The following is a 26,895-nucleotide window of genomic DNA, read 5'->3' on the forward strand; positions in this document are numbered from 1 at the left end:
GTTTCTACCATTTTACACCCTCACAAACAATGTATGAGAGTTCCAGTTGCTCCACATTCTTGCCAACATTTTTGCTCCACATTCTTGCCAACATTTGGTATTGTCAGACCTTTAATTTTAACCTTTCTGGTGATAAGCAGCGGTATTTCATGGTGGTTTTGTTTTACATTTCCCTTATGACTAATGACTAATGTTGTAGACCATTGTTTCATATACTTACTATACTTAAAAAAATTTAAGCTTTCTGGGCCAGGTGCAGTGGCTTACGCCTGTAATCCCAGCACTTTGGGAGGCCAAGGCAGGCAGATCACGAGGTCAGGAGATCAAGACCATCCTGGCTAATGCGGTGAAACTCCGTCTCCACTAAAAAAAAAAAAAAAATACAAAAAATTAGCCGGGCGTGGTGGCGGGTGCCTGTACTCCTAGCTACTCCAGAGACTGAGGCAGGAGAATGGCATGAACCCGGGAGGCAGAGCTTGCAGTGAGCCGAGATTGCGCCACTGCACTCCATCCTGGGTGACAGGGCAAGACTCTGTCTCAAAAAAAAAAAGTTAAGCTTTCTGTTATTTATTTTACAAGTAAAACATGCTGTGCATGCTTTGTAATCCCAATGTTTTGGGAAGAGGCCAGTGTTTAACACAAGCCTGGGCAAGATCCCACCTCTACAAAAAAAAAAAAAAAAATTAGCCTGGTATGGTGGCAACTGTAGTCCCAGCTACTCAGGAGGCTGAGGTGGGAGAATCACTTGAGCCCAGGAGTTCAAGGCTGCTGTGAGCTGTGGTTGCGCCACTGCACTCCAGCCTGGGTGACAGTGAGATCCTATCTTAAAAAAAAAAAAAAAGTAAAACATGCTTAATGTAAGACATTAAGACATTGGCTGAGTGCAGTGGCTCACACCTGTAAGCCCAGCACTTTGGGAGGCCGAGGCAGATGGATCACGAGGTCAAGAGATGGAGACCATCCTGGCCAACATGATGAAACCCCATCTCTACTAAAAATACATAACTTAGCCAGGCGTGGTGGCGGGCGCCTGTAATCCCAGCTACTCGGGAGGCTGAGGCAGGAGAATTGCTTGAACCCAGGAGGCAGAGGTTGCAGTGAGCCGAGATCGCGCCACTGCACTCCAGCCTGGCGACAGAGTGAGATGCCATCTCAAAAAAAAAAAAAAAAAAAAGACGTCTAACTACAGAAATCTATAAAGTACAATAGAAACATTTTTACCTTACTCCTCCAGTTTCACTCATTGACATTAGCTAACAATAATTTGGTTATTGGTTTATTATACAGCCTTCCATATATACATTTTTCTATGTCTACAAAAACAGATATTATTGCGTACACACACACACAGAGCTTACCTTTTTGTAACCACACACACACACAGTGAAAACCTCTTGCTTTTTATTTTTATTTTTAAATAGAGATGAGGTCTCGCTTTGTTGCCCAGGCTGGTCTTGAACTCCTGTGCTCAAACAATCCTCCCACCTCAGCCTCCCAAAATACTGGGACTACAGGCATGAGCCACTGCGCCCTGCCCCCCCTCTTGTTTTTATTGAGCATATACTATATGGAGATTTTGAGCAAAGGGATCGACATGCATCTTATCATTGAAATTGTTCAATAACTGTGGTAACTGGATGAGGAGACTGGAGCTTAGAAAGGTTAAGAAAGTTGCCAAGGTCACACAGCTCACAAGTGGCAATGCCCTCACTTGAACCCAGGTCTCTGACATCAAAACCACAGGTTGATGAAATGAGATGTTCTCTTCTTGCAATCTTAGATTCACTCACTGTTTCTTTTCTTATTTTTATTTTTAGACAGAGTCTTGCTCTGTCCCCTAGGCTGGAGAGCAGTGGTGCAATCATAGCTCACTGTAACCTTCAACTCCTGGGCTCAAGCGATCCTCCTGCTCCCAGCCTCCTGAGTAGCTAGGACTACAAGTGCACACCACTGTACCCAGCTAATTTTACTTTTTATTTCTGTAGAGATGGGGTATCACTATGTTACCCAGCCTGGTTTCAAATTCCTGGCCTCAAGCGATCCCCATGCCACAGGCTTCCAGAGTGCTGGGATTACAGGCATGAACCACAGCACCAGGCCTTCACTCATTCTTTCATTCATTCAACAAATATTCTTTGAGCCTTCAGAGCCACAGATGAGCTGAGGAGCCAGCCAGGTAGACTGACTACTAACATTTAGGAAAAGGGGGGTGTGATGGGAGAAGTAGGGGGAATAGCCCTGACCCAGGGCCTGAGTCAGGAAAGGGTCCTAGAGGAAGGACTCCTGAGGGATGTGTAGGATGCCCAGGGGAGGAGACAGCGTTAGCTGAAGAACGTGTGTATGTGTGTGTGCGTGTGTGTGAGTGCGTGTGCATGTGTGAGAGTGTGTGTGCGGGTGTGTGTGCGTGTGCTTGTGTGTGCGTGTGTGTGTGCGCTTGTGTGTGCGGGTGTGTGCGTGTGTGTGCGAGCGTGTGTGTGTGTGTACAGTGCCTTCTTAGGGAGCCCAGTCCCTCTCCAGGGTGCTGGGGTCGAGTGGAGGCAGGCGAGGGCCAGCAGCAAGACCCTAGGACCCTAGGGCCATCTTAAGGAGTCTGCCTCTGTCCTCAGGGAAACCCTGCAATGGCTAGAGTGACAGTTTTCAGATTCTAGGGTTTTAGGATTTAATTTCTTTCCCTTCCCCTCCCACAAGATTATGCTGCAAGGAGCACAGTGTCCTGGTGGCTCAGAGGCCACCGAGGCACCCCCAGATCCCCATCCGCTCCCTGGACCTGCAGTGGACTGTTGACTCCAGCCCTGCTCCAGGATTCAGGCTGGCTCTTTGGTCATAAAGGAACCCATTGCCCCCTGGTGGTGACTGGACACAGCTGTGGAAGGAATTCCAGACTCTGGCGGGGTGAAATGGGGACAGGTCCTGCTTCTCACCTAGACCTCCCCATGTCTGTCACCAGCATCCCTACCCAGGTGTTCAGTGTGGGCTCACCCTCAAGCCCCCTCTGTCCTCTCATTTCTTTTCTTTTCTTTCCTTTTTTTTTTTTTTTTGAGGCAGAGTCTCACTCTGTTGCCCAGGCTGGAGTGCAATGGCGAGATCTCGGCTCACTGCAACCTCCACCTCCCAGGTTCAAGCGATTCTCCTGCCTCAGCCTCCCAAGTAACTGGGATTACAGGCATGTGCCACCAACCCAAGCTAATTTTTTTTTTTTTTTTGAGACGGAGTTTCGCTCCTGTCGCCCGGGCTGGAGTGCAATGGCGCAATCTCGGCTCACCGCAACCTCTGCTTCCTGGGTTCAAGCAATTCTCCTGCCTCAGCCTCCTGAGTCGCTGGGATTACAGGCACATGCCACCATGCCCAGCTAATTTTTGTATATTTAGTAGAGACGGGTTTCACCATGTTGGCCAAGCTGGTCTGAAACTCCTGACCTCAGGTGATCCACCTGCCTCACCCAAAGTGCTGGGATTACAGGTGTGAGCTACCACACCCTGCCTAGTTTTTGTATTTTTTGTAGAGACAGGGTTTCACCATGTTGGCCAGGCTGGTCTCAAACTCCTGACCTCAGGTGATCTGCCTGCTTCAGCCTCCCAAAGTGCTGGGATTAGAGGTGTGAGCCACTACACCCAGCCTAATGTTTTAATTTTTAATAGAGATGGGGGTCTCACTATGTTGCCCAAGCTGGTCTCAAACTCCTAGGCTCAAGTAATTCTCCAAAAGTGTTGGGATTACAGATGTGAACCACTGTGCCCAGCCCAAAATCTTATTTTAGTAATTGACCCAATAGTGCCCTTTGTAGCATTCCATAGTGCAGGATCTAGTCAGCCTAAGATTAGATATTGCATTTAGTTGTCCTGTCTTGTAGGCTCCATCAATGAGGAACACTTCCACAGCCCTTCTTTGCTTTTATGAGTACAGTAGTGGTTCTCAGCTGGAGGTAAGTTTTCCCTCCAGGGGACATTTGGCATGCCTGGTGACACTTTGGGTGTCCCAACTGTGGTTGTATTACTGGCATCTAGTGGGTGGAGGCCAGGGATGCTGCTAGATACCCTATAGTGTACAGCACAGTCCCCTGGACAACCAAGAATATCTGGACCAAAATGTCAGTAGTACTAAGGTTGAAAAACCATAGACTAGAGTGATCTTTTACAAATGTTAATCACATCCCATCACCTTCCTGCTTAAGTCCCTCCAATGGCTTTCCACTGCTTTCAGGATGAAATCCAACCTCCTCATCACCTACTAAGCCCTGTGTGACCTGGCCCTAGACCTCCTTGCCTCCCTCCCTCCCCTTTGTTCACTGTGTTCCAGTCACATCAACCTTCTGTTGGTTCCACAAACGTGCCCAGCTTGCTCCTGCCCCAGGTCCTTTGCACTCCCTGTTCCCTCTGCCTGGAACACTCCTCTCAATAGCCACTTGGCAGATTTCTTAGTATTCATGTGTCATCTTAAATGCCCCTCTTCAGAGAGCCTTCCTGACCACCCACTTATTCTCTCCCATTACCCCCTGCTTTGGTTACTTATTTATTTATTTATTTTTGAGACAGAGTCCAGCTCTGTCGCCCAGGCTGGAGTACAGTGGCACAATTTTGGCTCACTGCAACCTCCACCTCCTGGGCTCAAGCGATCCTCCTGACTCAGCCTCCTGAGTAGCTGGGATTACAGGTGCATGCCACCATGCCTGGCTAATTTTTTTTTTGTATTTATTTATTTATTTTTTTAAGTAGAGATAGGGTTTCACCATATTGGCCAGGCTGGTCTCAAACTCCTGACCTCAAGTGATCCTCCCACCTCAGCCTCCCCAAAGTGCTGGGATTACAGGCATGAGCCACTGTGCCCGGCCTGCTTTGGTTTTTTCATAACTCTTTTTACTCTATCTGAAATTATGTTGTTTATTGCTAGTCCTCCCTTGCCAGAATGAATGCTGCATGGGAGATAAATCTTTAGCCATTTTCTTCATGGCTATATCCCCAGCACCTAGAACAGGTCCTGGCACATAGTAGGCATGCAGAAATATTTGTTGAATGAATGCATATGGCAAAATGATGACTAGAATGGGCTTTGAGTCAGGCAGACCTCGGATTAAATCATTGCTCTGCCACTTACCAGCTAAGGGACTTTGAGCGAATGACTTAACGTCTCTGAGCTCTGTTTCCTCATTCGTATATGAAGGTAAAAGTGGTGTCTCTATCACAGGGGTGTCTGTTGATCTGATGAGCTAAAGCTTATAGAACACTCTGTCCAGGCACATAGCAAGTGCTAGATAACTTATTATTGTGTTTCAAACATGAATAAAGCAGCAGGTATACATGGGCACTGGGCTGAAGCCCATCCAGGCTCTTTCCCTCCCATAATCCCAGATACAATCCCTCCCTTGGCCATTTAAAGCTCTTGTAACTCTTTATTGCATTTGCAGGTGTCTCCTTATTTAACAGCTGTCTAAGGGCAGATATACTCCCTGAATGTTTAACATAGCTGCCTGCCAGGAAGGAAGGGAGAAAGGGAGGGAGGGAGGAGGGAAGGAGGGAGGGATAGGGAAGGAGAGAGGGGGGAGGGGAGGCGGGGAGGGGGGTGAAGGAGGGCAGCTGGGCTGGTGTTCTTGCCTGTAGTCTTATGGAAGAGGTGAGGTCCTCTGGTGAGATGGCAGTACTGGGATGGGGGATGAAAATTCCAAGTTTTGGCAAGTTGCAGAATAGGAAGTGAGTGAAGTACTCAAAATTTAGGGTGCAAAATTTTAGGGGGTACCAAAGACCTCAGTAATCGAGACAAATAATTGTTTAAAATTCAAAATTAGGCTGGGCACAGTGACTCACACCTGTAATGCCAGCACTTTGGGAGGCTGGGGCAGATCACGAGGTCAAGAGATCGAGACTATCCTGGCCAACATGGTGAAACCTCGTCTCTACTAAAAATACAAAGATTAGCTGGGCGTGGTGGCAGGCGCCTGTAGTCCCAGCTACTCGGGAGGCTGAGGCAGGAGAATTACTTGAACCCGGGAGGTGGAGGTTGCAGTGAGCTGAAATCGCACCACTGCACTCCGACCTGGCGACAGAGTGAAACTGCGTCTCGAAAAGAAAAAAAAATTCAAAATTAATGCAGAAAAATTCCATGATGGACAAAATGTCAAAATTTTAACCCAAACCAAGATTAGTAACAGTGCTGTGCTGAGCCATATCGGAGCCTCATGTGGGGAAAAAAAATAATGATTCCATCACCTGAGTCCTGACCCTCAGGCTCCTGCTGTTGCTCCTGACAATCTGCAGGTGGCGCCTGATTCTGGAAAATAATCTCCCGCTGGGTCCGTTTTCCAGGTCTGTGGAATTTAAGTAGATTCTCTTCTGGCTGGACAGTCATTCTGTGATAGACGATCATTCTGAAATCACATATAAGACTCTTTCCCTCTCTGGGTCTCCGTTTTTTCTGCCCGCAAATTTCATTTCTAGCTGGAACATCCCAGCCCTGAGTCCTCATTCATCCTTATTATTCATGCCACATCATCGGGCATGTGATTGTTCTTGTAGGGGTGAAAGTTAGCTGAAGTGAACTTATGATAGAAAGATGAATAGGAGAGAAAAGCATACAATTGTATTCAATGTGCAAAGCACAGGGGAATTGCAGAAGGACCATCTAATAGCCCCATGAGGTACAGACACTTAAATATCCTTCTTCATAGGGGAAAGGGGAGATGGGGGATCTAGGCAATTCTTTTTTTCTTTCTTTCTTTTCCTTTTTTTTTTTCCTGAGACAGAGTTTCACTCTGTCACCCAGGCTGGAGTGCAGTGGCACTATCTTGGCTTATTGCAACCTCCGCCTCCCAGGTTCAAGCGATTCTCCTGCCTCAGCCTCCCTAGTAGCTTGATTACAGGCACCTGCCACCACACCCAATTAATTTTTGAATTTTTAGTAGAGACAGAGGTTTCATCATGTTGGTCAGGCTGGTCTTGAACTCCTGATCTGGAGTGATCTGCCTACCTTGGCCTCCCAAAGTTCTGGGATTACAGGCGTGAGCCACCATGCCGGGACTTTTTTCTTTTTCTGAGACAGAGTCTCTCTCTGTCACCCAGGCTGGAGTGCAGTGGCACAATCATGGCTAACTGCAACCTCTGCCTCCCAGTTTAACCTCCTGCCTCAGCCTCCGGAGTAACTGGGATTACAGGTGCAGGCATCACCACGCCTGGCTAATTTCGTATTTTTAGTAGAGATGGGGTTTTGCCATGTTGGCCAGGCTGGTCTTGAACTCTGACCTCAAGTGATCCACCCACCTCGGCCTCCCAAAATGCTGGGATTACAGGCATGAGCCACTGCACCTGGCCCATTTATTTATTCTTTTAGTATCTTTTTTCTATTTCATTAATGTCAGGCTTCATTTTATTTTTCACCTCTTATTGTATTGCTGTTTTTCTAATTTCCTAGGCTGAATACTTGGTTTATTTATTATTTATTTAATTTTGAGACAGAGTCTCGCTCTGTTGCCCAGGCTGGAGTGCAGTGGTGCGATCTCGGCTCACTGCAAGCTCTGCCTCCCGGGTTCACGCCATTCGCCTGCCTCAGACTCCTGAGTAGCTGGGACTACAGGTGCCCGCCACCGTACCCAGCTAATTTTTTGTATTTTTAGTAGAGACGGGGTTTCGCCATGGTCTCGATCTCCTGACCTCGTGATCTGCCCACCTCGGCCTCCCAAAGTGCTGGGATTACAGGCGTGAGCCACCCTGCCTGGCCAGTTCATTTATTTTTGGTCTTTTATTAAAAATGAAAGTATTTAAGGCTGTCAATTTTCATCTGAGTACTGCTTTAACTGTGTCCCACAAGTTTTAGTATGAAGAATTCTTTTCATTTCCTTTTTGAGATTTTTTTGTTTTTTGAGACAGTCTTACTTTGTCGCCCAGGCTGGAGTGTAGTGGTGTGATCTCGGCTCACTGCAACCTCCGCCTCCTGGGTTCAAGCAGTTCTCCTGCCTCAGCCTCCCGAGTAGCTGGGATTACAGGCGCGCGTCACCACACCCGGCTAAGTTTTGTATTTTTAGTACAGACAGGGTTTCACCATGTTGGTCAGGCTAGTCCGAACACCTGACCTCATGATCTGCCCACCTCGGCCTCCCAAAGTGCTGGGATTACAGGCGTGAGCTGCCATGCCCAGCCTCCTTTTTGAGATTTTTTAAAACAAAGGTATACTGTTATTACTTGTGCATTAAAATGTAGTGAAAAAACTGCATAGAACTCAACTGCACTGTGGTCCAATTATATCTTTGCAGGATTTCTCCTACAGTCGGAGGGAAAACCCGGGAATGAGGAATGCTGATGGACATAGCACTATCAGAGGACTTGATCCTGTTTCTCAGAGAGGAAGACAGACACTCTTAGCATAATGAGGGTCAAAAGTTGGGCCAGGCCGGGCACGGTGGCTCACGCCTGTAATCCCAGCACTTTGGGAGGCTGAGGCAGGCAGATCACTTGAGGTCAGGAGTTTGAGGCCAGCCTGGCCAACATGGTGAAACCTCATCTCCACTAAAAATACAAAAATTAGCTGGGTGTGGTGGCACATGCCTGTAGTCCCAGCTACTCAGGAGGCTTAGGCAGAAGAATCGCTAGAATCCAGGAGGCAGAGGCTGCAGTGAGCCGAGATCACACCACTGCACTCCAGCCTGGGTGACAGAGCGAGACTCTGTCTCAAAAAAAAAAAAAAAAAAGAAATTGGGGCTAGCAGTATCGATAATAGGGGATCTCATACCAAGAGAGCAAATGGCCCAACATTCATCTTCAGAGTAAAGAGGTCTGGTTAAAAAAAAAAGCGTATATGTATACACACACACACACACAACTGAAGAAAACGCCAAGGGAAAAAAAATGTAAGCTATAACCCCAGAACACAAAACATAATGCCCTTCACCCCTCCTCCATGCGACCTGCCAGCAGAAAGACTGGGGGTGTGGCAGGGCGGTGGGGGCGGGGGGTAGGGTATGTTTGTAGCCTTTCAGTGAAACAGGGCAGAGAACTGCTCCTTTTTCTTTTCTCTCTCTCTTTTTTTTTCTTTTTGAGACCGGGTCTCGCTCTGCCATGCTGGCTGGAGTGCAGTGGCGCCATCACAGCTCACTGCAGCCTTGACCTACCTAGGCTGAAGCGATCCTCCCACCTCAGCCTCCTGAGTAGCTGGGACTATAGCATTGCCATTCCTGGCTAGTTTTCATTTTGTCTTGTTTTCGTAGAGACAGGGTTTCATCATGTTGCCCAGGCTGGTCTCAAACTCCTGGGCTCAAGCAATCCGCCTGCCTTGGCCTCCCAGTGTGTTGGGATTACAGGCATGAGCCACTGCATCTGGCTGGAGAACTGCTTCTAAATATGCCCAAACAACTCTTCGGTTCCTGCACTTGTTGCCTCAGAAGGCAGCAGCATCCTTAGGCTCCAGGGTGGGATGTCACAAACAGATGTCTTCATTTTTATTTTGTTTAGCTTAAGTTGTGTAATTGTGACTTAAAGCTGGTTTGTTTGTTTGTTTTAAGGCAGAGTTTTGCTTTTGTTGCCCAGGCTGGAGTGCAATGGCGTGATCTCGGCTCACTGCAACCTCTGCCTCCCAGGTTCAAGTGATTCTTCTACCACAGCCTCCCAAGTAACTGGGATTACAGGCTTGCGCCACCATGCCCGGCTAAGTTTTGTATTTTTAGTAGAGATGGGGTATCACCATGTTGATCAGGCTGGATGGTCTTGAACTCCTGACCTCAGGTGATCCACCTGCCTCGGCCTCCCAAATTGCTGGGATTACAGGCATGAGCCACTGCGCCCAGCCTTGTTTGTTTTTTTAAGACAGCATCTCACTCTGTACCCAGACTGGAGTGCAGGGGCATCATCATAGCATCATAGCTCACCGCAGCCTTGAACTCTCAAACTCCTGGGCTCAAGCAATCCTCCTGCCTTAGCCTCCCAAGTAGCTGGGACTACAGGCTCACACCCCCATGCCCCACTAATTTTTTATTTTTATTTTGTAGAGACATGGGCTCTATCTTGCTATATTGTGGAGGCTGGTCTCCAACTCCTGGCCTCAAGTAATCCTCCTGCCTTGGCCTCCCAAAGTGCTGGGACTACAGATGTGAACCACCATGCCCTGCCCAGATGTTTTCAGATGGTTGGGGATCCATTCAGCAAAATAGCTGCTATTTTTGTTTGGTTTGGTTTGGTTTTCCTTTTTTTTCCCCTGCCCTTATTTTTGTTTTGTGTATTAAACATCTGCCTAAACATCACCTCCATGTACCCAGGGCTTGGCTAGGATGTATTCATAGGGGATGTATCAACAGGTAGGGGAAGGGTTATAGCCTGGAAGGAAGTGAGGGAAGAATTTGAGGGTTAAGGAGACAGAGCATCGGCTGGGCATGGTGGCTCACGCCTGTAATCCCAGCACTTTGGGAGGTGGAGGCAGGTGGATCACCTGAGGTCAGGAATTCGAGACCAGCCTGACCAACATGGAGAAAAAAACCCCATCTCTACTAAAAATAAAAAATTAGCGGGGCGTGGTGGCGCATGCCTGTAATCCCAGCTACTTGAAAGGCTGAGGCAGGAGAATTGCTTGAACCTGGGAGGCGGAGGTTGCAGTAAGCTGAGATCATGCCATTGCACTCCAGCCTGGGCAACAAGAGTGAAACTCCATCTCAAAAAAAAAAAGGAGACAGAGCATCAGAGGGGGGAGTCCCTTGAAGTGGGGGAGGGAGGCCTACATGAGACCCTGCATGGGAATGCTCCAAAGGTCTGGGCAGTAAGCCCCGAGCTTATGGACAATCAGACCAGAGACCCCAAGCCTGCCTCCCCTGCTTACCCAATGACAGGCACCTGAGATACCGCCAGGGCAGCCGCAGATGGTGAGGAGGGGAGCCAGGGCCCCAGCATGAGCCCCCTTGTCTACCTGCTCCCTGACTTAGGGGAGAGCCAGAGACATCCACTGTGCTTCAGGACAAGGAGCCCAGGGCCCAGGTTATGTGTGCATGGGAAATGGGGAAACTGATGTCCAGAGAGAAGTGACTGCCCCGGGTCACCAACAGGGCAGGGCCAGACTCGGAGCTCAAACTGCCGGCTCCCCAGAAGCTAGGAGTCCTGCTCAGACTGTGGGGAGGGCTCTGGGCCCTGATTCTGTAGGGGGAGGCGGGGAGGTGCTGCTGTCAGGGAGAGGGGTGAGTGGGGAAAAGCGGGGGTGGGGAGACAAAAGGAGAGGGAGGGAGGGAGGAGGTTGGCAGGGCAGACAACCTGTGTTTAATGTTGAGTTAGCAGGAGGCGCCTCTGCTTTTCACAGCAAAATATAGGCAGGTCGTAGAGGCTCAGTGATCCTCTCACCTTGACCTTTCAAAGCTTTGGAATTACAGGTGTGAGCCATCCAAATTGTTGAAGCTTCAGGCCCCAGAAAACCTGGATCCTCCCTGGCTCCGTGGGTGGCTAGGAAGATGGGTGGCCCATCATTAGATCCAGGGAGCATCATGGCAGGGTAAGATCCTGACTTAGGAGTACTTTGCCTTCTCCAGTTATGACAGGGCACCCTGGGTGTCCTCATCATCCGCCCCCAGCACCAGTGTCTTGTAAAGAAGACCTAGAAAAGCTTTCAGTAGCCTGAGGCTGTCTTTAAGAAAAAGAAAAGAAGGCCAGACACGGTGGCTCATGCCTGTAATCCCAGCACTTTGGGGCCGAGACAGGTGGATCACTTGAGGTCAGAGTTGGAGACCAGCCTGGGCAACATGGTGAAAACCCATCTCTACTAAAAATACAAAAATTAGCGGGGCGTGGTGGTGCGCCTGTAATCCGAGCTACTCAGGAGGCTGAGGCAGGAGGATTGCTTGAACCCAGGAGGCAGAGGTTGCAGTGAGCAGAGATTGCAGCACTGCACTTCATTCTGGGTGACAGGGCAAGAGTCCATCTCAAGCAAAACAAAACAAAACAAAACAAAACTCCAAATACAGAATTAGGTACAGAGCCTTGGAAGGAGACATGCCCTTCGAAGGAGTACATCCGTCTCTGCTCAGAGCCAGCTCTGGTTTCTACTTCCTCATCCTCTGTAACCCAAGTCCCACCACTTCCTGATGGGAAGGTGGGAGCAGCAGTAGCAAGGGCATGGATGTAGGGTCAGACGAACCTCAGCTAGAAATCTGGCCAAGCCACCTCCTGCATGACCCAGACAAGTCTCTGACTTATTTAAAAATTATTATTATCAGCCGGGCGTGGTGGCTCATGCCAGTAATCCCAGCACTTTGGGAGGCCGAGGCAGGTGGATCACCTGAGGTTAGGAGTTCGAGACCAGCCCGGCCACCATGGTGTAACCCTCTCTCTACTAAAAATACAAAAATTAGCCAGGTGTGGTGTCACATGCCTGTAATCCTAGCTACTCGGGAGGCTGAGGCAGGAGAATCGCTTGAACTGGGAGGTGGAGGTTGCAGTGAGTCAAGATCATGCCACTGCACTCCAGCCTGGGTGACAGAGTGAGACTCCATCTCCAAAAAATAAATAAAATAAAATAATTATTATTTATTTATTTATTTATTTTTGAGATGGAGTCTCGCTGTCACCCAGGCTGGAATACAGTGGCGCAATCTTGGCTCACCGCAACCTCCACCTCCCAGGCTTATGCAATTCTCCTGCCTCAGCCTCCCAAGCAGCTAGGATTACAGGCATGCGCCACCACACCTTGCCAGTTTTTTTGTTTTTCGTAGAGATGGGGTTTCACCATATTGGCTGGGCTGGCCTCGAACTCCTGACCTGAAGTGATCCGCCTGCCTCGGCCTCCCAAAGTGCTGGGATTACAGGCGTGAGCCACCGCACATGGCCATTATTATTATTTTAAATTTTATTTTGTTTAATTTTTTTTTTGAGACAGGGTCTCGCTCTGCCACCCAGGCTGGAGTGCAGTGACATAATCACGATCATGGCTCATTGCAGCCTCAAACTCTTAGGCTCAAGCAATCCTCCCACCTCAGCTTCCTGAGTAGCTGGGATCACAGGCATGTGCCACCACACCCGGCTAATCTTTTTATTTTTTGTAGAGATGTTGGGGGGGTGTCTCATTATGTTGCCCAGGCTGGTCTCGAACACCTGGGCTCAAGTGATCTCAAATTGACCTCTCAAAGCTGTGGGATTACAGGTGTGAGCCAGCCACCACACACGGCAGCCTATATTTTTATTATTTATTTATTTATTTATTTTGAGACTGAGTCTTGCTCTATCACCCAGGCTGGAGTGCAGTGGCGCAATCTCCACTCATTGCAACTTCAGCCTCCCAGGTTCAAGTGATTCTCCTGCCTCAGCCTCCCAAGTAGCTGGGACTACGGGTGCACACCATCACGCTCAGCTAATTTTTGTATTTTTAGTAGAGAATTGGTTTCGCCATGTTGGCCAGACTGGCCTCGAACTCCTGATTTCAAGTGATCCTTTTGCTTCGGCCTCCCAAAGTGCTGGGATTACAGGTGTGAGTCACCACGCCCAGCCTGTCCCTGCTTTCTTGAAACCTCAGTTTTCTCCTCTGTAAAATGGGCATGCCTATATTTACCTCCCCAAGACTACCGTAAAAATTATATTATGCATAGCACTTAGGACAGTGCCTCACGTATCATAAGTGCCCAATAAATGGTATGTCTGATATATCATATACATTCCATATATGATTATAATAATTATCCAAAATGATTTCAAGTTTTGCCTTTAATGGCACTTCTTCCAGGAGGCTCTTTAAAAATAAAAATCAAAGTATAATATGCATGCAATAAAATACACACTTTTTTTTTTTTTGAGACGGCGTTTCACTCTTGTTGCCCAGGCTGGAGTGCAATGGCACAATCTCGGCTCACTGCAACCTCTGCCTCCTGGGGTTCAAGCGATTCTCCTGCCTCAGCCTCCTGAGTAGCTGGGATTACAGGCATGCGCCACGATGCCCGGCTAGTTTTGCATTTTTAGTAGAGACGGGGTTTCTCCATGTTGGTCAGGCCGGTCTCAAACTCCCGACCTCAGGTGATCTGCATGCTTCGGCCTCCCAAAGTGCTGGGATTACAGGCGTGAGCCACTGCGCCCAGCCAAAATATATAATTCTTAAGTGAGCAGCTCCATGAATTTTTACATAAATATGCACCATGTTACCACCACCCACATCAAGACACAGAGCGTTTCCAAAGTCCCTCTCATCTCTCTTCCCAGTCAATACTCTTCACCCTCCATCCCCATGAGACAATCATTATTCTAATTTCCTTTATCATAGACTGTTCTTAAAACTTTATATGCATGGAATCATAATGTATACTTTTGTGTCTGGCTCAAAATGGCTCTAAAATCTAGACAGGCAACAGAGCTGTGTGGGAAGGAGTCCAGGCTTTGGGCTCAGAAACGCCAGGCTCAAGTCCTGGTTTGGCTTGGAATTTGCTACATTCATGCCCCAGGATGTGTCGTGTCTGTTTCCTCACCTAGAAAATGCGTAGAAATCATCATGAGATCTTGTGCTGCTGGGTGCAGTGTCACCCACCTGTAGTCCCAGCTACTCTGGAGGCTGAGGTGGGACGATGCTTGAGGCCAGGAGTTCCAGGCTGCAGTGAGCTATGGTTATGCTTGTGAATAGCTACTGCACTTCAGCCTGGGCAACATAGTGAGACCCCGATCTCTAAAAATATATATATATATATATATATATATATATATATATATATATATATATATACACACACATACATATATATATATATATATTAGATATTGTGCATGAAGCACTCAGCACATAAGAGTTCTCAGGAAGTGGCAGGTGTTATTTTTTTGTTTTGTTTTGTTTTGTTTTGTTTTTGAGACGGAGTCTTGGTCTGTCACCAGGCTAGAGTACAGTGGCACAAACTCGGCTCACTTGGCTCACTGCAACCTCCGCCTCCCGGGTTCAAGTGATTCTCCTGCCTCAGCCTCCCAAGTACCTACAGGTGTGTGCCACCATGCCCAGCTAATTTTTGTATTTTTAGTAGAGATGGGGTTTCACCATATTGACCAGGATGGTCTCAATCTCCTGACTTCATGATCCGCCCACCTCGGCCTCCCAAAGTGCTGGGATTACAGGCGTGAGCTACCACACCACCCGGCCAAGAGGTATTATTCTTATTCGTCTCAGTTACGTTCAGCCCCTCCCATTCCAGCCCCCAGGGTAGGACTCCACAGTGTCCAGCCTGAACTCTTGCACCAGCCTCCCAGGGGCCTCCCACCCTGGTACCTTCACCTCTGTTGCAGCCTCCAGTCTGCCGCCAAGTAGGCTGTGCCAACGTGAACATGCCAGATCACAGGTCACTGGGCCTTCCTCACCCATGCTGTTGCCTCTGCTCAGAATATTCTCTGCTTCCCACGCCCCTCCTCAACCTGCAAATTCTAGCTCAGCTTTTAGGTTTCAACTTTGCCTTTCCCCAAGAGTCCTTTCGAGGTCCCAGGCTGGGCTGCATGTCCCCATCTGTCCTCCTAGATCCTCTGTTGCACCCCTGGCAGAGTGCTCAGCCCTGCCTTACTGGAAGTCCCCGAGGGCGTGATTATGTCTATAAGTTCAACCTGGAGTGCTCGGCACAGGCAGAGTGCTGGCACACAGCGGGTGTAAGCAGGCAGCAGGACCCCAGGGATTCTAGGAATTTAATCAACTTGAGCAATCAGCCTGCTTTACAGCCTTCCTCCCTGAGGCCTGTTCCTCCCCAAACCCCGTAGAATTTGGCCACCTTGTTGGTTTAAGCCAGCTCTTGACAGACCCTGGCAACTTATAGATGAACTCAAGTGAACTTTCCTCATTAGTACACTGAAGTCTCCACCCCGGAGGAGCTATAGCTTCTTACCCTAACACCACACTCATGTGCTGGCATGATGACACACTGACTCTGCGCAACTGGGACCCCTCCTCTACATGCCACAACGCACCCTCTCCTCTCTCTGTCGCCCCCTAAAACCCTCCTGTCACTTTTCTTCAGGGAGGCACTGCTTTGGAGAATACTCCCAGTGCCCTCCTTACTTGCACCAAGTAATAAAACTCCTACTAATCAAAACCCGAGTCTTGCGGTTACTTACCGGGTGAACAAACACTGGTGTTTTATTTTTGTTTGTTAACACAGGCACATGATAACTATTTATTGAATGTTAAACAGATGAATAAATAAATGCCACTTTTTTTTTTTTTTTTGAGACCGAGTCTCCCTTTGTCACCAGGCTGGAGTGTAGTGGCGCGATCTCGGCTCACTGCAACCTCCGCCGCCCAGGTTCAAGTGATTCTCTTGCCTCAGCCTCCCAAGTAGCTGGGACTACAGGCACGTGCCACCACGTCCAGCTAATTTTTGTATTTTTAGTTAGAGATGGGGTTTCGCCATGTTGGCCAGGATAGTCTCGATCTCTTGACCTCGTGATCTGCCTGCCTCGGCCTCCCAGTGTGCTGAGATTACAGGCGTGAGCCACCGCACCCGGCCTTTTTTTATTATTATTTAAATGGAGTCTCGCTCTGTCACCCAGGCTGGAGTGTAGCGGCACAATCTTGGCTCACTGCAACCTCTGCCCCCTGGGTTCACGCCATTCTCCTGCCTCATCCTCCCAAGTGGCTGGGATTACAGGCACTTGCCACCATGCCCGGCTAATTTTTGTATTTTTAGTACAGATGGGGTTTCACCATGTTGGCCAGGCTGCTCTTGAACTCCTGGCCTCAGGTGATCCGCCCGCCTCAGTGGGCAGAGTGAGCCGAGTGAGCTGAGTTTGTGCCACTGCACTCTAGCCTGGTGACAGAGTGAGACTCTGTCTCAAAAACAAACAAACAAAAAAACAAAAAAAGGAATAACACCTACCACTTCCTGAGTACTCTTATGTGCTGAGTGCTTCATGCACAATATCTTTTTTTTTTTTTTTAAGAGATCGGGGTCTCACTATGTTGCCCAGGCTGGAGTGCAGTAGCTATTCACAAACATCCCAAAGTGCTGGGATTGCAGGCATGAACCACCATGCCCGGCCTAAATGTCACTTCTATATTTGAAAACCTTCCATGGTTTCTCATGGAGAGAGAAATAAAGTCCAAACCACAGCGTACTGCATTCCACTTCCGTCCTCATCTGCCACACACCAGGGTCTAAATCCCTGCCCTATCATTTATTGGCTGTGTGACCCCGGACAAATGGCTGTTTCCTCATCTGTAAAATGGGGATAATAATAGTAACTACCTCATAGGATGATTGTGAGGTTGAAATGAGTACATACATGTATACTCATTTGAGTATATATATATTGAGAGAGAGAGGGAGAGACAGAGTCTTGTTCTGTCGCCCAGGCTGGAGTGCAGTGGTGCCATCATGGCTCACTGCAGCCTTGATCTCTTGGGTTCAAGTGATCCTCCCACCTCAGCCTCCCGAGTAGTTGGAACTACAGGCATGTGCCACCATGCCTGGCTAATTTTTACATTTTTTGTTGAGACAGGGTTTTGCCATGTTGCCCAGGCTGGTCTCTAACTCCTGGGCTCAAGCACTCTTCCCACCTCGATACCCTGAAGTGCTGGGATTATTGGCCTGAGCCACCACGCTCAGCCCACGCCCTGACTAATGAATAAGTTTATTATTGACTTATTATTGTTTTTATTTATATTTATTTTTTTACGTCCTAACATAAATTGCTGAGATATTTATTGTTTTTCCCTCTAGAATGTCAGCTTCTTGTCCACAGGGATTTTTCTCTTTTGTTCCTTGCTGTATCACCACTGCCTAGATTAATGACTGGCACACAGTAAGCGCTCAATAAATATTGCTAAATGCCACTACACCACACTTTCTTTGCCTATGCCAGAGGTGCCCAAACATAGCAGCTTTTATGTCTCAGTGATTTCTTTTCATAGCAGTCCTAGGTCAAAAGAAATAGCCAACCAGGGCTGGGTATGATGGCTCATGCCTGTAATTCCAGCACTTTGGGAGACTGAAGTGGGAGGATTGCTTGAGGCCAGGAGTTCGAGACCAGCCTGGGCTACATAGCAAGACCCTTTCTCTACAAAGAAAAAAAAAATACCTAACTTCTGTTTCCTCCCCCTCTCCTTCTCCCTTTCTCTCTTTCCCCTTTTCTTTGCCCTCTCTTTGCCCTTCTGCATGGGATGATGCAGCAAGAAGGCCCTCACCACATGCCAGTATCTTGATCTTGGACTTCCCAGCCTCCAGAACTATGAGAAATTTCTGTTATTTATAAATTACCCAGTCTATGGGATTCTGTTTTAGCAGCACAAAATGGAGTAAGACACCATGATTACTTAGTTAATGGGATATGTGTACTTTCTTGGAATCTTGGAATCACATTAGATACCAATTCTTTCTTTCTTTCCCTTCCTTCCTTCCTTCCTTTTCTTTCTCTCTCTCTCTTTCCCTCCCTCCCTCCCTCCCTCCCTCCCTCCCTCCCTCCCTTCCTTCCTTCCTTTTTGAGACAGGGTCTTGCTCTGTCACCCAGGCTGGAGTGCAGTGGCGAGATCATGGCTGATTGCAGCCTGAAACTCCCAGCTCAAGTGATTCTCCCACCTCAGCCTTACTAGTAGCTGGGACCGCAGACACACACCACCGTGCTCAGCTAGCTTTTATTATTATTGTTTTTTATTATTATTAGTTTTTCAAGATGGAGTCTTGCTCTGTAACCCAGGCTAGAGTGCAGTGGCACCATCTCGGCTCACTGCAACCTCTGCCTCCCGGGTTCAAGTGATTCTCCTGCCTCAGCCTCCTGAGTAGCTGGGATTACAGGCGCACATCACCACACCCGGCTAAATTTTGTATTTTTGGTAGAGATGGGGTTTCACCATGTTGGCCAGGCTGGTCTTGAACTCCTGACCTTGTGATCCGCCCACCTCGGCCTCTCAAAGTGCCGGGATTACAGGCGTAAGCCACTGAGCCTGGCCTTTTTTTTTTTTTTTTTTTTTTTTTTTTTTTTTTTTTTAACATCCAAATAGTCAGTGAATAGCTAGCTTTTGTATTTTTCCCAGAGACAGGATTTTGCCATGTTGCCCAGTCTGGTCTCAAACTCCTGGGCTCAAGCGATCCTCCTACCTCAGCCTCACAAAGTACTGGGATTACAAGTATAAGCCACCACACCTGGCCAACACTCTCATTTTGTGTTCCACATTGATTTTCATGAGTAATTTATTATTTTCTTCTTCTTTTTTTTTTGAGACAGAGTCTCACTCTGTTGCTTAGGCTGGAGTACAGTGATGCAGTCTCAGCTCACTGCAGCCTCAACCTCCCTGGCTCACACTATCCTCCCACCTTAGCAGACTCCCAAGTAGCTGGGACTACAGGCATGTGCCACCATGTCTGGCTAATTTTTGTATTTTTTGTAGACATGAGGTTTCGCCATTTTGCCCAGGCTAGTCTCAAACTCCTGAGCTCAAGTGATTCTCCCACCTCAGCCTCTCAAAGTGCTGCGATTACAGGTCTGAGCCACCTCGACCAGTTGAGTTATTTGCTTCTCTTTGTTAGGGAAGCAAGAGCCTAGGACAGCCAGAGTGACACCATTTTAAATTCAGCTCCATCCTGAAACTAACAAAGCACATTTCTTGCTGGTCATGACCCATAGTCATGGGATGTTTATAGTTTGGATGTACCAATACTCATAACAATATATGCTTTCAAGATAATTATAGTTATGCTTTGATGTACTCACACACTAAAATGTTAAGGATAGTTTAAATCAAGAGAGTAATAAATTTTGTCATGCTGTCTGCTCACCCGCACGTAGACACAGGCTTGGCTTAGCTTTTACGTAGACAAGACCCCTTATAAGAAATAACTTAAACAAAGACAGGGCATTCTTCCTCTTGCTTTCTGGGGACACCCTCCTGACTGTAACAGAGTAGCTTTCTTTTTTCTTTTCTTTTCTTTTATTCATTGACATGGAGTCTCGCTCTTGCTGCCCAGGCTGGAGTACGACGGTGCTATCTCGACTCACTGCAACCTCCACCTCCTGGGTTCAAGCGATTCTTCTGCCTCAGCCTCTTGCGTAGCTGGGATTACAGGCACATGCCACCATGCCCGGCTAACTTTTGTATTTTTATTAGAGACAGGGTTTCACCATGTTGGCCAGGCTGATCTCAAACTCCTGACTTTAAGTGATCCACCCACCTTGGCCTCCCTAAGTGCTGGGATTACAGGTGTGAGCCACCAAGCCCAGCCCAGAGTAGCTTTTAATAAACTACCTCTTCTCATTGCACTCTGCAACATGTCTTGAATTCCTTCCTGGGTGACATGCAAGAACCCTCTCTTAGGGTCCGGGTTGAGACTCTTTTCCAGTAACATTATCACATCGATTGCTGAAAACCCAGTATTACAAAGATATAATACCACAGAAAGCAAAGTTGTAGAGCTTAATGTTGAAATTGTGTACTGTTTCCAGCTAGCTGTTTTCACACTGTTCACCCAAAGGTGAATATAATTGTGTTTCCCTCCAAAGTTTGAAATATTCAGCTGGGCTGGGCATGGTGGCTCATACCTGTAATCCTAGCACTTTGGGAGGCCGAAGCAGGTGGATCACCCGAGGTCAAGAGTTCGAGACCAGCCTGGCCAACATGGTGAAACCCCGTCTCTAGTAAAAATACAAAAATTAGCCAGGCGTGGTGGCGGGCGCCTATAATCCCAGCTACGCAAAGAGGCTGAAGCAGGAGAATCGCTTGAACCTTGGGGGCAGAGGTTGCAGTGAGCTGAGATCATACCGCTTCTCTCCAGCCTGGGCAAAAGAGCAAAACTCTGTCTCAAAAAAAAAAAAAAAGAAAAAGAAAAAAAGAAAAAAAAATATATATATATATATTTGGCTGGGCACAGTGGCTCACACCCATAAGCTCAGCACTTTGGGAGGCTAAGGCAGGAGGATTGCTTAAGGCCAGGGGTCCAAGACCAGCCTGGGCAACATAGTGAGACCCTGTCTGTATAAAAAATACAAAAAAATGGCCGGGCATGGTGGCTCACGCCTGTAATCTCAGCACTTTGGGAGGCCGAGGTGGGCGGATCACAAGGTCAGGAGTTTGAAACCAGCCTGACCAACATGATGAAACCCCATCTCTACTAAAAATATAAAAATTAGCCAGGTGTGGTGGTTTGCGCCTGTAATTCCAGCTACTTAGGAGACTGAGGCAGGAGAATCGCTTGAACACAGGAGGTGGAAGTTGCAGTGAGCTGAGGTCGCGCCATTGCACTCCAGCCTGTGTGACAGAGCGAGACTCCGTCTCAAAAAAAAAAATTAACTGGGTATGATGGCATGCACCTATAGTCCCAGTTACCCAGGAGGCTGAGGTGGGAGGATCGCTTGACCCCAGGAGTTTGAGGTTGCAGTCAGCTATGATCATGCCATTGCACTCAAGCCTGGGCAACAGAGTGAGATCCTGTCTCAAAAAAAAAAAGATAAAGTAAAAATTTTAAATATTCTATCATGCTCCTGTAAATGCAGTGTGGTACACAAGGGTGCATCTATGCATAGTTTGGGAAGCATGGGTCTAGTCTTTTTTTAAAGATGTTTTATTTATTATTTTTAATTGACAAATAATAATTTTTTTTTTAGATTGAGTCTCGCTTTGTTGCCCAGGCTGGAGTGCAGTGGCACAATCTCAGCTCACTGCAACCTCTGCCACCCAGGTTCAAGTGATTCTTCAGCCTCAGCCTCCCAAGTAGTTGGGATTACAGGCATGTGCCACCAAGCCAGGCTAATTTTTGTTTGTTTGTTTGTTTGTTTTTTGAGATGAAGTCTCACTCTGTTGCCCAGGCTGGAGTGCAGTGGTGCAATCTCGGCTCATTGCAACTTCTGCCTCCTGGGTTCAAGTGAGTCTCCAGCCTCAGCCTTCTGAGCAACTGGGACTACAGGCATGTGCCACCATGCCCAGGTAATTTTGTATTTTTAGTAGAGACGGGGTTTCACCATATTGGTCAACCTGGTCTTGAACTCCTGACCTCAAGTGATCCACCCGCCTCGGCCTCCCAAAATGCTGGGATTACAGGCATGAGCCACCTCGCCTGGCCTATTTATACTCTTTTTAAAAAAATTGGATTTGGGCCAGATGCGGTGGCTCATGCCTGTAATTCCAACACTTTGGGAGGCCGAAGTGGGTGGATCACTTGAGGTCAGGAGTTCAAGACCAGCCTGGCCAACATAGTGAAACCCCCATCTCTACTAAAAATACAAAAATTAGCCGGGTGTCATGGCACACGCCTGTAATCCTAGCTACTCAGGTAGCTGAGGTATGAGAATTGCTTGAGTCTAGGAGGCAGAGGTTGCAGTGAGCCAAGATTATGCCACTGCACTCCAACCTGGACCACAGAGCAAGACTCCATCTCAAAAGATAAATAAATAAATAAACAAACAAACAAACAAAAATTGGATTTGAACCCCTTTCTCTTCTCAGCCTCCAGGCTCAGCTGAAATGCCAAAACATATATGAACAAAACAGTTTCCCCAGTTGGAATGAAAACTCTTTCCTCTGGGATTTGACAATTATTTATTTATTTATTTATTTATTTATTTATTTTTTAGACAGGGTCTCATTCTGTCTCCCAGGCTGGAGCACCATGATGCAACCTTGGCTCACTGGAGCCTCGACCTCCAGGGCTCAAGTGATCCTCCCACCTCAGCCTCCCAGTTAGCTGGGATTACATGCATGCACCATCATGCCCAGCTAATTTTTGTATTTTTAGTGAAGATGGGATTTCAACATGTTGCCCAGGCTGGTCTCGAACTCCCGGGCTCAAGCAACTCATCTGCCTCAGCCTCCCAAAGTGCTGGGATTATAGGCATGAGCCACCATGCCCAGCCTTGATAATAATTTAATCTGTTGAAAGGTATGAATTTTTCTGTGATACCCAAGATGTAAAAAATGCCATATTTCTTTCTTTTTTAATTGGATAAAACCTGCTTTAAGCCCCCACTTCTAATGTCTGGCTTTTTTCCCCCAGTGACTCCTCTTTGTTCCTGGGCTTGTACCAGGACTCAAGGGCTTACACAGTCTGGGCAAAATTGAGCTGCCCACATCAGCCACTCTCAGAAGCTTCCACTACAGGGCTTACCAATCCAAGAAAAAGAGGCTGGCCCTACTGGCTATATGCACTGCCCCAGAGCCTGGCTAAGCAGAAGGACCCCCTCTGTGGCCCTAGAGACTGAAGTCCTAGTGCTTGGTGCCCAGGCATTTACACCATCCCCACCCCTAGTCCAAAGCCCTGCTCACCAGGGGACTTTATATGAGAGGAGGAGCATCAGTGCCTCTCTGGGCATCTGCTGCTCCTTCTTCTTGCCCTTGGGGGAATCCGACCTCTCACTTTGGGAGGAAGGATTCCAGTTCCTTAGAGTTTACATGCAGGTAGCGCGGGGATGAATGTGGTCCTCATATGTGTTCTGTTTGGGCAGTGTGGTGTTATCATCTTTTAAAATGCAGGGCACATGTTCTCAGGATTTCCTGGGCTGTGTTACAGGTTAAAAAAAAAAAAAATCCATTGCTGGCCTGGCGCAGTGGCTCATGCCTGAAATCCCAGCACTTTGGGAAGCCGAGGCGGGAGGATCAGTTGAGGTCAGGAGTTTGAGACCAGCCTAGCCAACCAACATGGTGAAACCCTGACTCTACTGAAAATACAAAAATTAGCCAGGTGGCACACACCTGTAATCCCAGCTACTCGGGAGGCTGAGGCAGGAGAATCGGTTGAACCCGGGAGGCAGAGCTTGCAGTGAGTAGAGATCATGCTTCTGCACTCCAGCCTGGGCGACAGAGTGAGACTCTGACTCAAAAAAAAAAAAAAAAAAATCCATTGCAACACCTAAACATTGGGAGATGTTGCATAATTTCTACATTCTAGACCCTCAGTTGCTGCAGGGAAACCACTGACTGGAGCTAAGCAAGCACTACTCCTCTGGGCAAGTCATGTGCTCTGCAGCTGGCTACTATCTGTGGTATTACATTACCCTGGCCTCTGCGGTCCCTTGAAGTTGAGGCCCTCTCCTGGGCTTTTGAAAACAAAGCCTTTTTGATACTGCAGTGTGGCCTCAAACTCAAAAACGGTTCACTCTTGAGTGCAAGGATGTCTCAAACTTAAGTACTCCAGGCCCAGCTGCTCTTTGTAGATGTATGCATGGTGGTGGGGGTGACAGCGACAGAAACAATTACTTTTCATTCTTGCCAATGAATCTAGCAGCAAATAAGCGGGACACAGACTGAACTCTCCATAACCCATACCTATCTATTTAGCAGTGATTTAATTCAGCCTAATGATGTGTCATTTTTAAGAAGGATATTAATAGCTAACATTCACTTGAGCCTTACCAGGTTCCCAGTCCTGGATAAAGTACCTTATAAATATTATCTTGTTGAATTCTTTAGAAACTGCTCCTAAAGGAGTGTCGCAGAATCAAACGGCCCAGAGGCTAGGAGGAGGGGATGTGGGTGAACACAGAACACCGCAGCTGATGATGCAGCTTAAAAGCAGAAGGGAGGGAGGTGCAGCCCGAGGCTGTCGGAGAAGCGGCCCAGACTGGCCCCAGGGCTCTGCAACAGGCTCCAGTTGTGCAGGGAGGGGACAAGCTTGTGATACCGCGTGAAGGACTCAGGAGGTCCGGTGGAGGGGTGGCCTCTCTCCCGCTGGTTGGCTCCATTGCTATTTCTGTCTCCTCGTTCTCGGTCTCTCCAGGCCGCTCCCTCTCCATCTGTCCTGATCGCCAGCCTCTCCCCCGCTCCTCTCCGCAGCGGTCGGCCCACCTGGAGCACTCCCCGCCGCCACGTGACCCGTGCGTAAATCGCAGTACTCTTCCCACCCCTGCGCTGGGCCAGCACCCGGCTCTGCGGAGGCTGCAGGCCGCGCATGCGCAGCTGTGGACGCACCTGCGCGCCCGCTGGCTGGTGCCGCCGACCAACCCCGCGCATCCTGCGGCTGCTACCCCGGCTGGCCCTGGCGCTGGGACCGGGTCGGGGGCGCGGACCCGCCTGGGTCCAAACTCCCGAGGGTGCTGATTCTCTTTGCTGATACTCTCCCAACGAGCTGTCCACACAGCCAAACCTCACCTTAGGTCTGGGCACTGGAGCTGCACCCTGGGCGCTCGACGTTCTCCCCTGGTCATCAGGAAGTCAGAGTCCTGGCTCAGCCGTTAGAGCTGTGTGACCTTGGACAAGTGACTTGATCTCTCTGCGCCCCAGGAACGTGGAGATAATAATAGCACCGACCTCATAGGGCAGTAGTGAGAATCCAGTGAAAATTCATGAGAGCTTTTTTTGCACAGTGCCTGGCATGTATCAAACTCCCAGTAAATGCAAATTAAGAATACAGAGCAAAGGGTAGTATTGTGTGATAGCTGAGGGAGTATTTTACTCTTTTTTTCTTTCTTTCTTTGAGAGGGAGTCTCCCTCTGTCGCCCAGATTGGAGTGCAGTGGCGCCATCTCGGCTCACTGCGAGCTCCGCCTCCCAGGTTCCCGCCATTCTCCTGCCTCAGCCTCCCGAGTAGCTGGGACTACAGGCGCCTACCACCACGCCCGGCTAATTTTTTGTATTTTTAGTAGAGACGGGGTTTCACTGTGTTAGCCAGGATGGTCTCGATTTCCTGACCTTGTGATCTGCCCGCCTCGGCCTCCCAAAGTGCTGGAATTACAGGCGTGAGCCACCATGCCTGGCCGTATTTTACCCTTTCAAGTGGATCATTTTGCTGGCTTCTCAGTCACCCTGGGAGAGAGGCCTGGAAGTTTTATTTGTCCCCGTTTCACAGATGGGGACACAAGGCTCAAAGATGTCAAGAGGTCTCCAACCAGGTCTTGGATGCCAAATCAGCGCTCCCAACCTGAATTCCTGGGTGGATTCACAGTCTGTCACCCCGCTCTATCTTCCAATCATGCTACTTTAAAAAAACATCCATTCTGATTTTTGTCATCCCCAGTGAACATCTCAGGTACACATCTGCAGGAAAGGCTTTTTTTTGTTTTGTTTTTTTTTTTTTTTTTGTCCTTCCTTCTACAGAAAATAAGAAGCTACTATATATTATTTGCTGTGACCTTTGAGAAGGTCCCTGAACACGGATCCCAGGCCACTAAGAAGTCCTGGATCCTGGCATCCAGGCCTACCCTGGGGGCTCTTCCTCCAGCCCTACCCCTCAGGCTTTCTCCTCTCTAGTCACAATGTCCCTTCTCTGTTCCTGGAAGAGCCAAACTCCTTTCTGCCGCTGGGTCTTTGTACCTACTGTATATCTGCCTAGACACTCTCCCAGGTCCCTCTTACCACCGTTTTCCCATCTCAGGAAGCCAGCTCTGACTGTACCCCAGCCAGTCCACTGGGCCAGGTGCCTTGCTATCCACTCTTACAGCCCCTTCTCCATCTGCTTCAGCACTTGTCAGAACAGTCACTCAATGCTGTAACACCTTGTTTCCTGTCTGTCCCTCAGCTAGAATACCAGCTCCTTGAGGACAGAAATTGTCTCCATCTTACCCACAGCACATGGCCCAGACTTTGGCCGCACTCAATAAACGCTTGTTGACCCACTGACTGGATGAGTGACAAGAGGAGCCCTTGGCCATTCCTACTCCTTAGCTGCTAAGGAATTTTCCAGCTTCAAATTTATATTTTCATGGCAGATACAGAAACTGTGGAGTCTCTGCTGATATGTGCCAGCTGGCGAAGGAGGAAGCATGTGGCATTACCAGTGCATCCTAGGTCTCCCCATGTTTACACACTATCTCCTCCTCCAAATACACACAGGGGCTATCAATATGTTTCCTGGGCAAAAGGCAAGGCCCAGACATAGAGAGTTGACACATTAACGCCTCCTCTCTCTCTGAACCCATCTGAAGGTTCTGTTGGGGGTAGATTGGGGTGGTGGTGAGAAGATGGTCAAATCTGCTTGACTTGGGGCTGGCGACTGAAGTAGGACATGTAGCCTCTTGTCCTGGCTCAGCCACCACTGGCTTCTGTGACTTTGGAAAATTCCTCCTTAGTTCTCAGCAGGTTTTTT

General features: G+C 48.3%; 1 long non-coding RNA gene across 1 annotated transcript, besides 4 other annotated features; it reads left to right on the forward strand.

The window, feature by feature from the left end:
* The first annotated feature begins 3,673 nt into the window (after positions 1-3,673).
* Positions 3,674-8,772, forward strand: LOC124902277 (uncharacterized). Its single transcript, XR_007061797.1, has 2 exons — positions 3,674-3,922; positions 8,237-8,772. It is a non-coding gene; the product is annotated as an uncharacterized LOC124902277 (long non-coding RNA).
* Positions 14,698-15,217: an enhancer, noted in NCBI's record as "H3K4me1 hESC enhancer chr9:130360792-130361311 (GRCh37/hg19 assembly coordinates)". NCBI's record gives its function as "activates a minimal SCP1, AML or CMV promoter by ChIP-STARR-seq in primed H9 embryonic stem cells {active_cell/tissue: H9 hESC(primed)}" and the evidence as "EXISTENCE:reporter gene assay evidence [ECO:0000049][PMID:30033119]".
* Positions 24,495-24,994: an enhancer, noted in NCBI's record as "H3K4me1 hESC enhancer chr9:130370589-130371088 (GRCh37/hg19 assembly coordinates)". NCBI's record gives its function as "activates a minimal SCP1, AML or CMV promoter by ChIP-STARR-seq in primed H9 embryonic stem cells {active_cell/tissue: H9 hESC(primed)}" and the evidence as "EXISTENCE:reporter gene assay evidence [ECO:0000049][PMID:30033119]".
* Positions 24,495-25,033: a biological region, named in NCBI's record as "H3K4me1 hESC enhancer GRCh37_chr9:130370589-130371088".
* Positions 24,804-25,033: a silencer, noted in NCBI's record as "silent region_20306". NCBI's record gives its function as "represses an Ori minimal core promoter by ATAC-STARR-seq in GM12878 lymphoblastoid cells {active_cell/tissue: GM12878}" and the evidence as "EXISTENCE:reporter gene assay evidence [ECO:0000049][PMID:35858748]".

This window comes from Homo sapiens, chromosome 9, assembly GCF_000001405.40.
Source record: "Homo sapiens chromosome 9, GRCh38.p14 Primary Assembly".
NCBI lineage: Eukaryota > Metazoa > Chordata > Mammalia > Primates > Hominidae > Homo > Homo sapiens.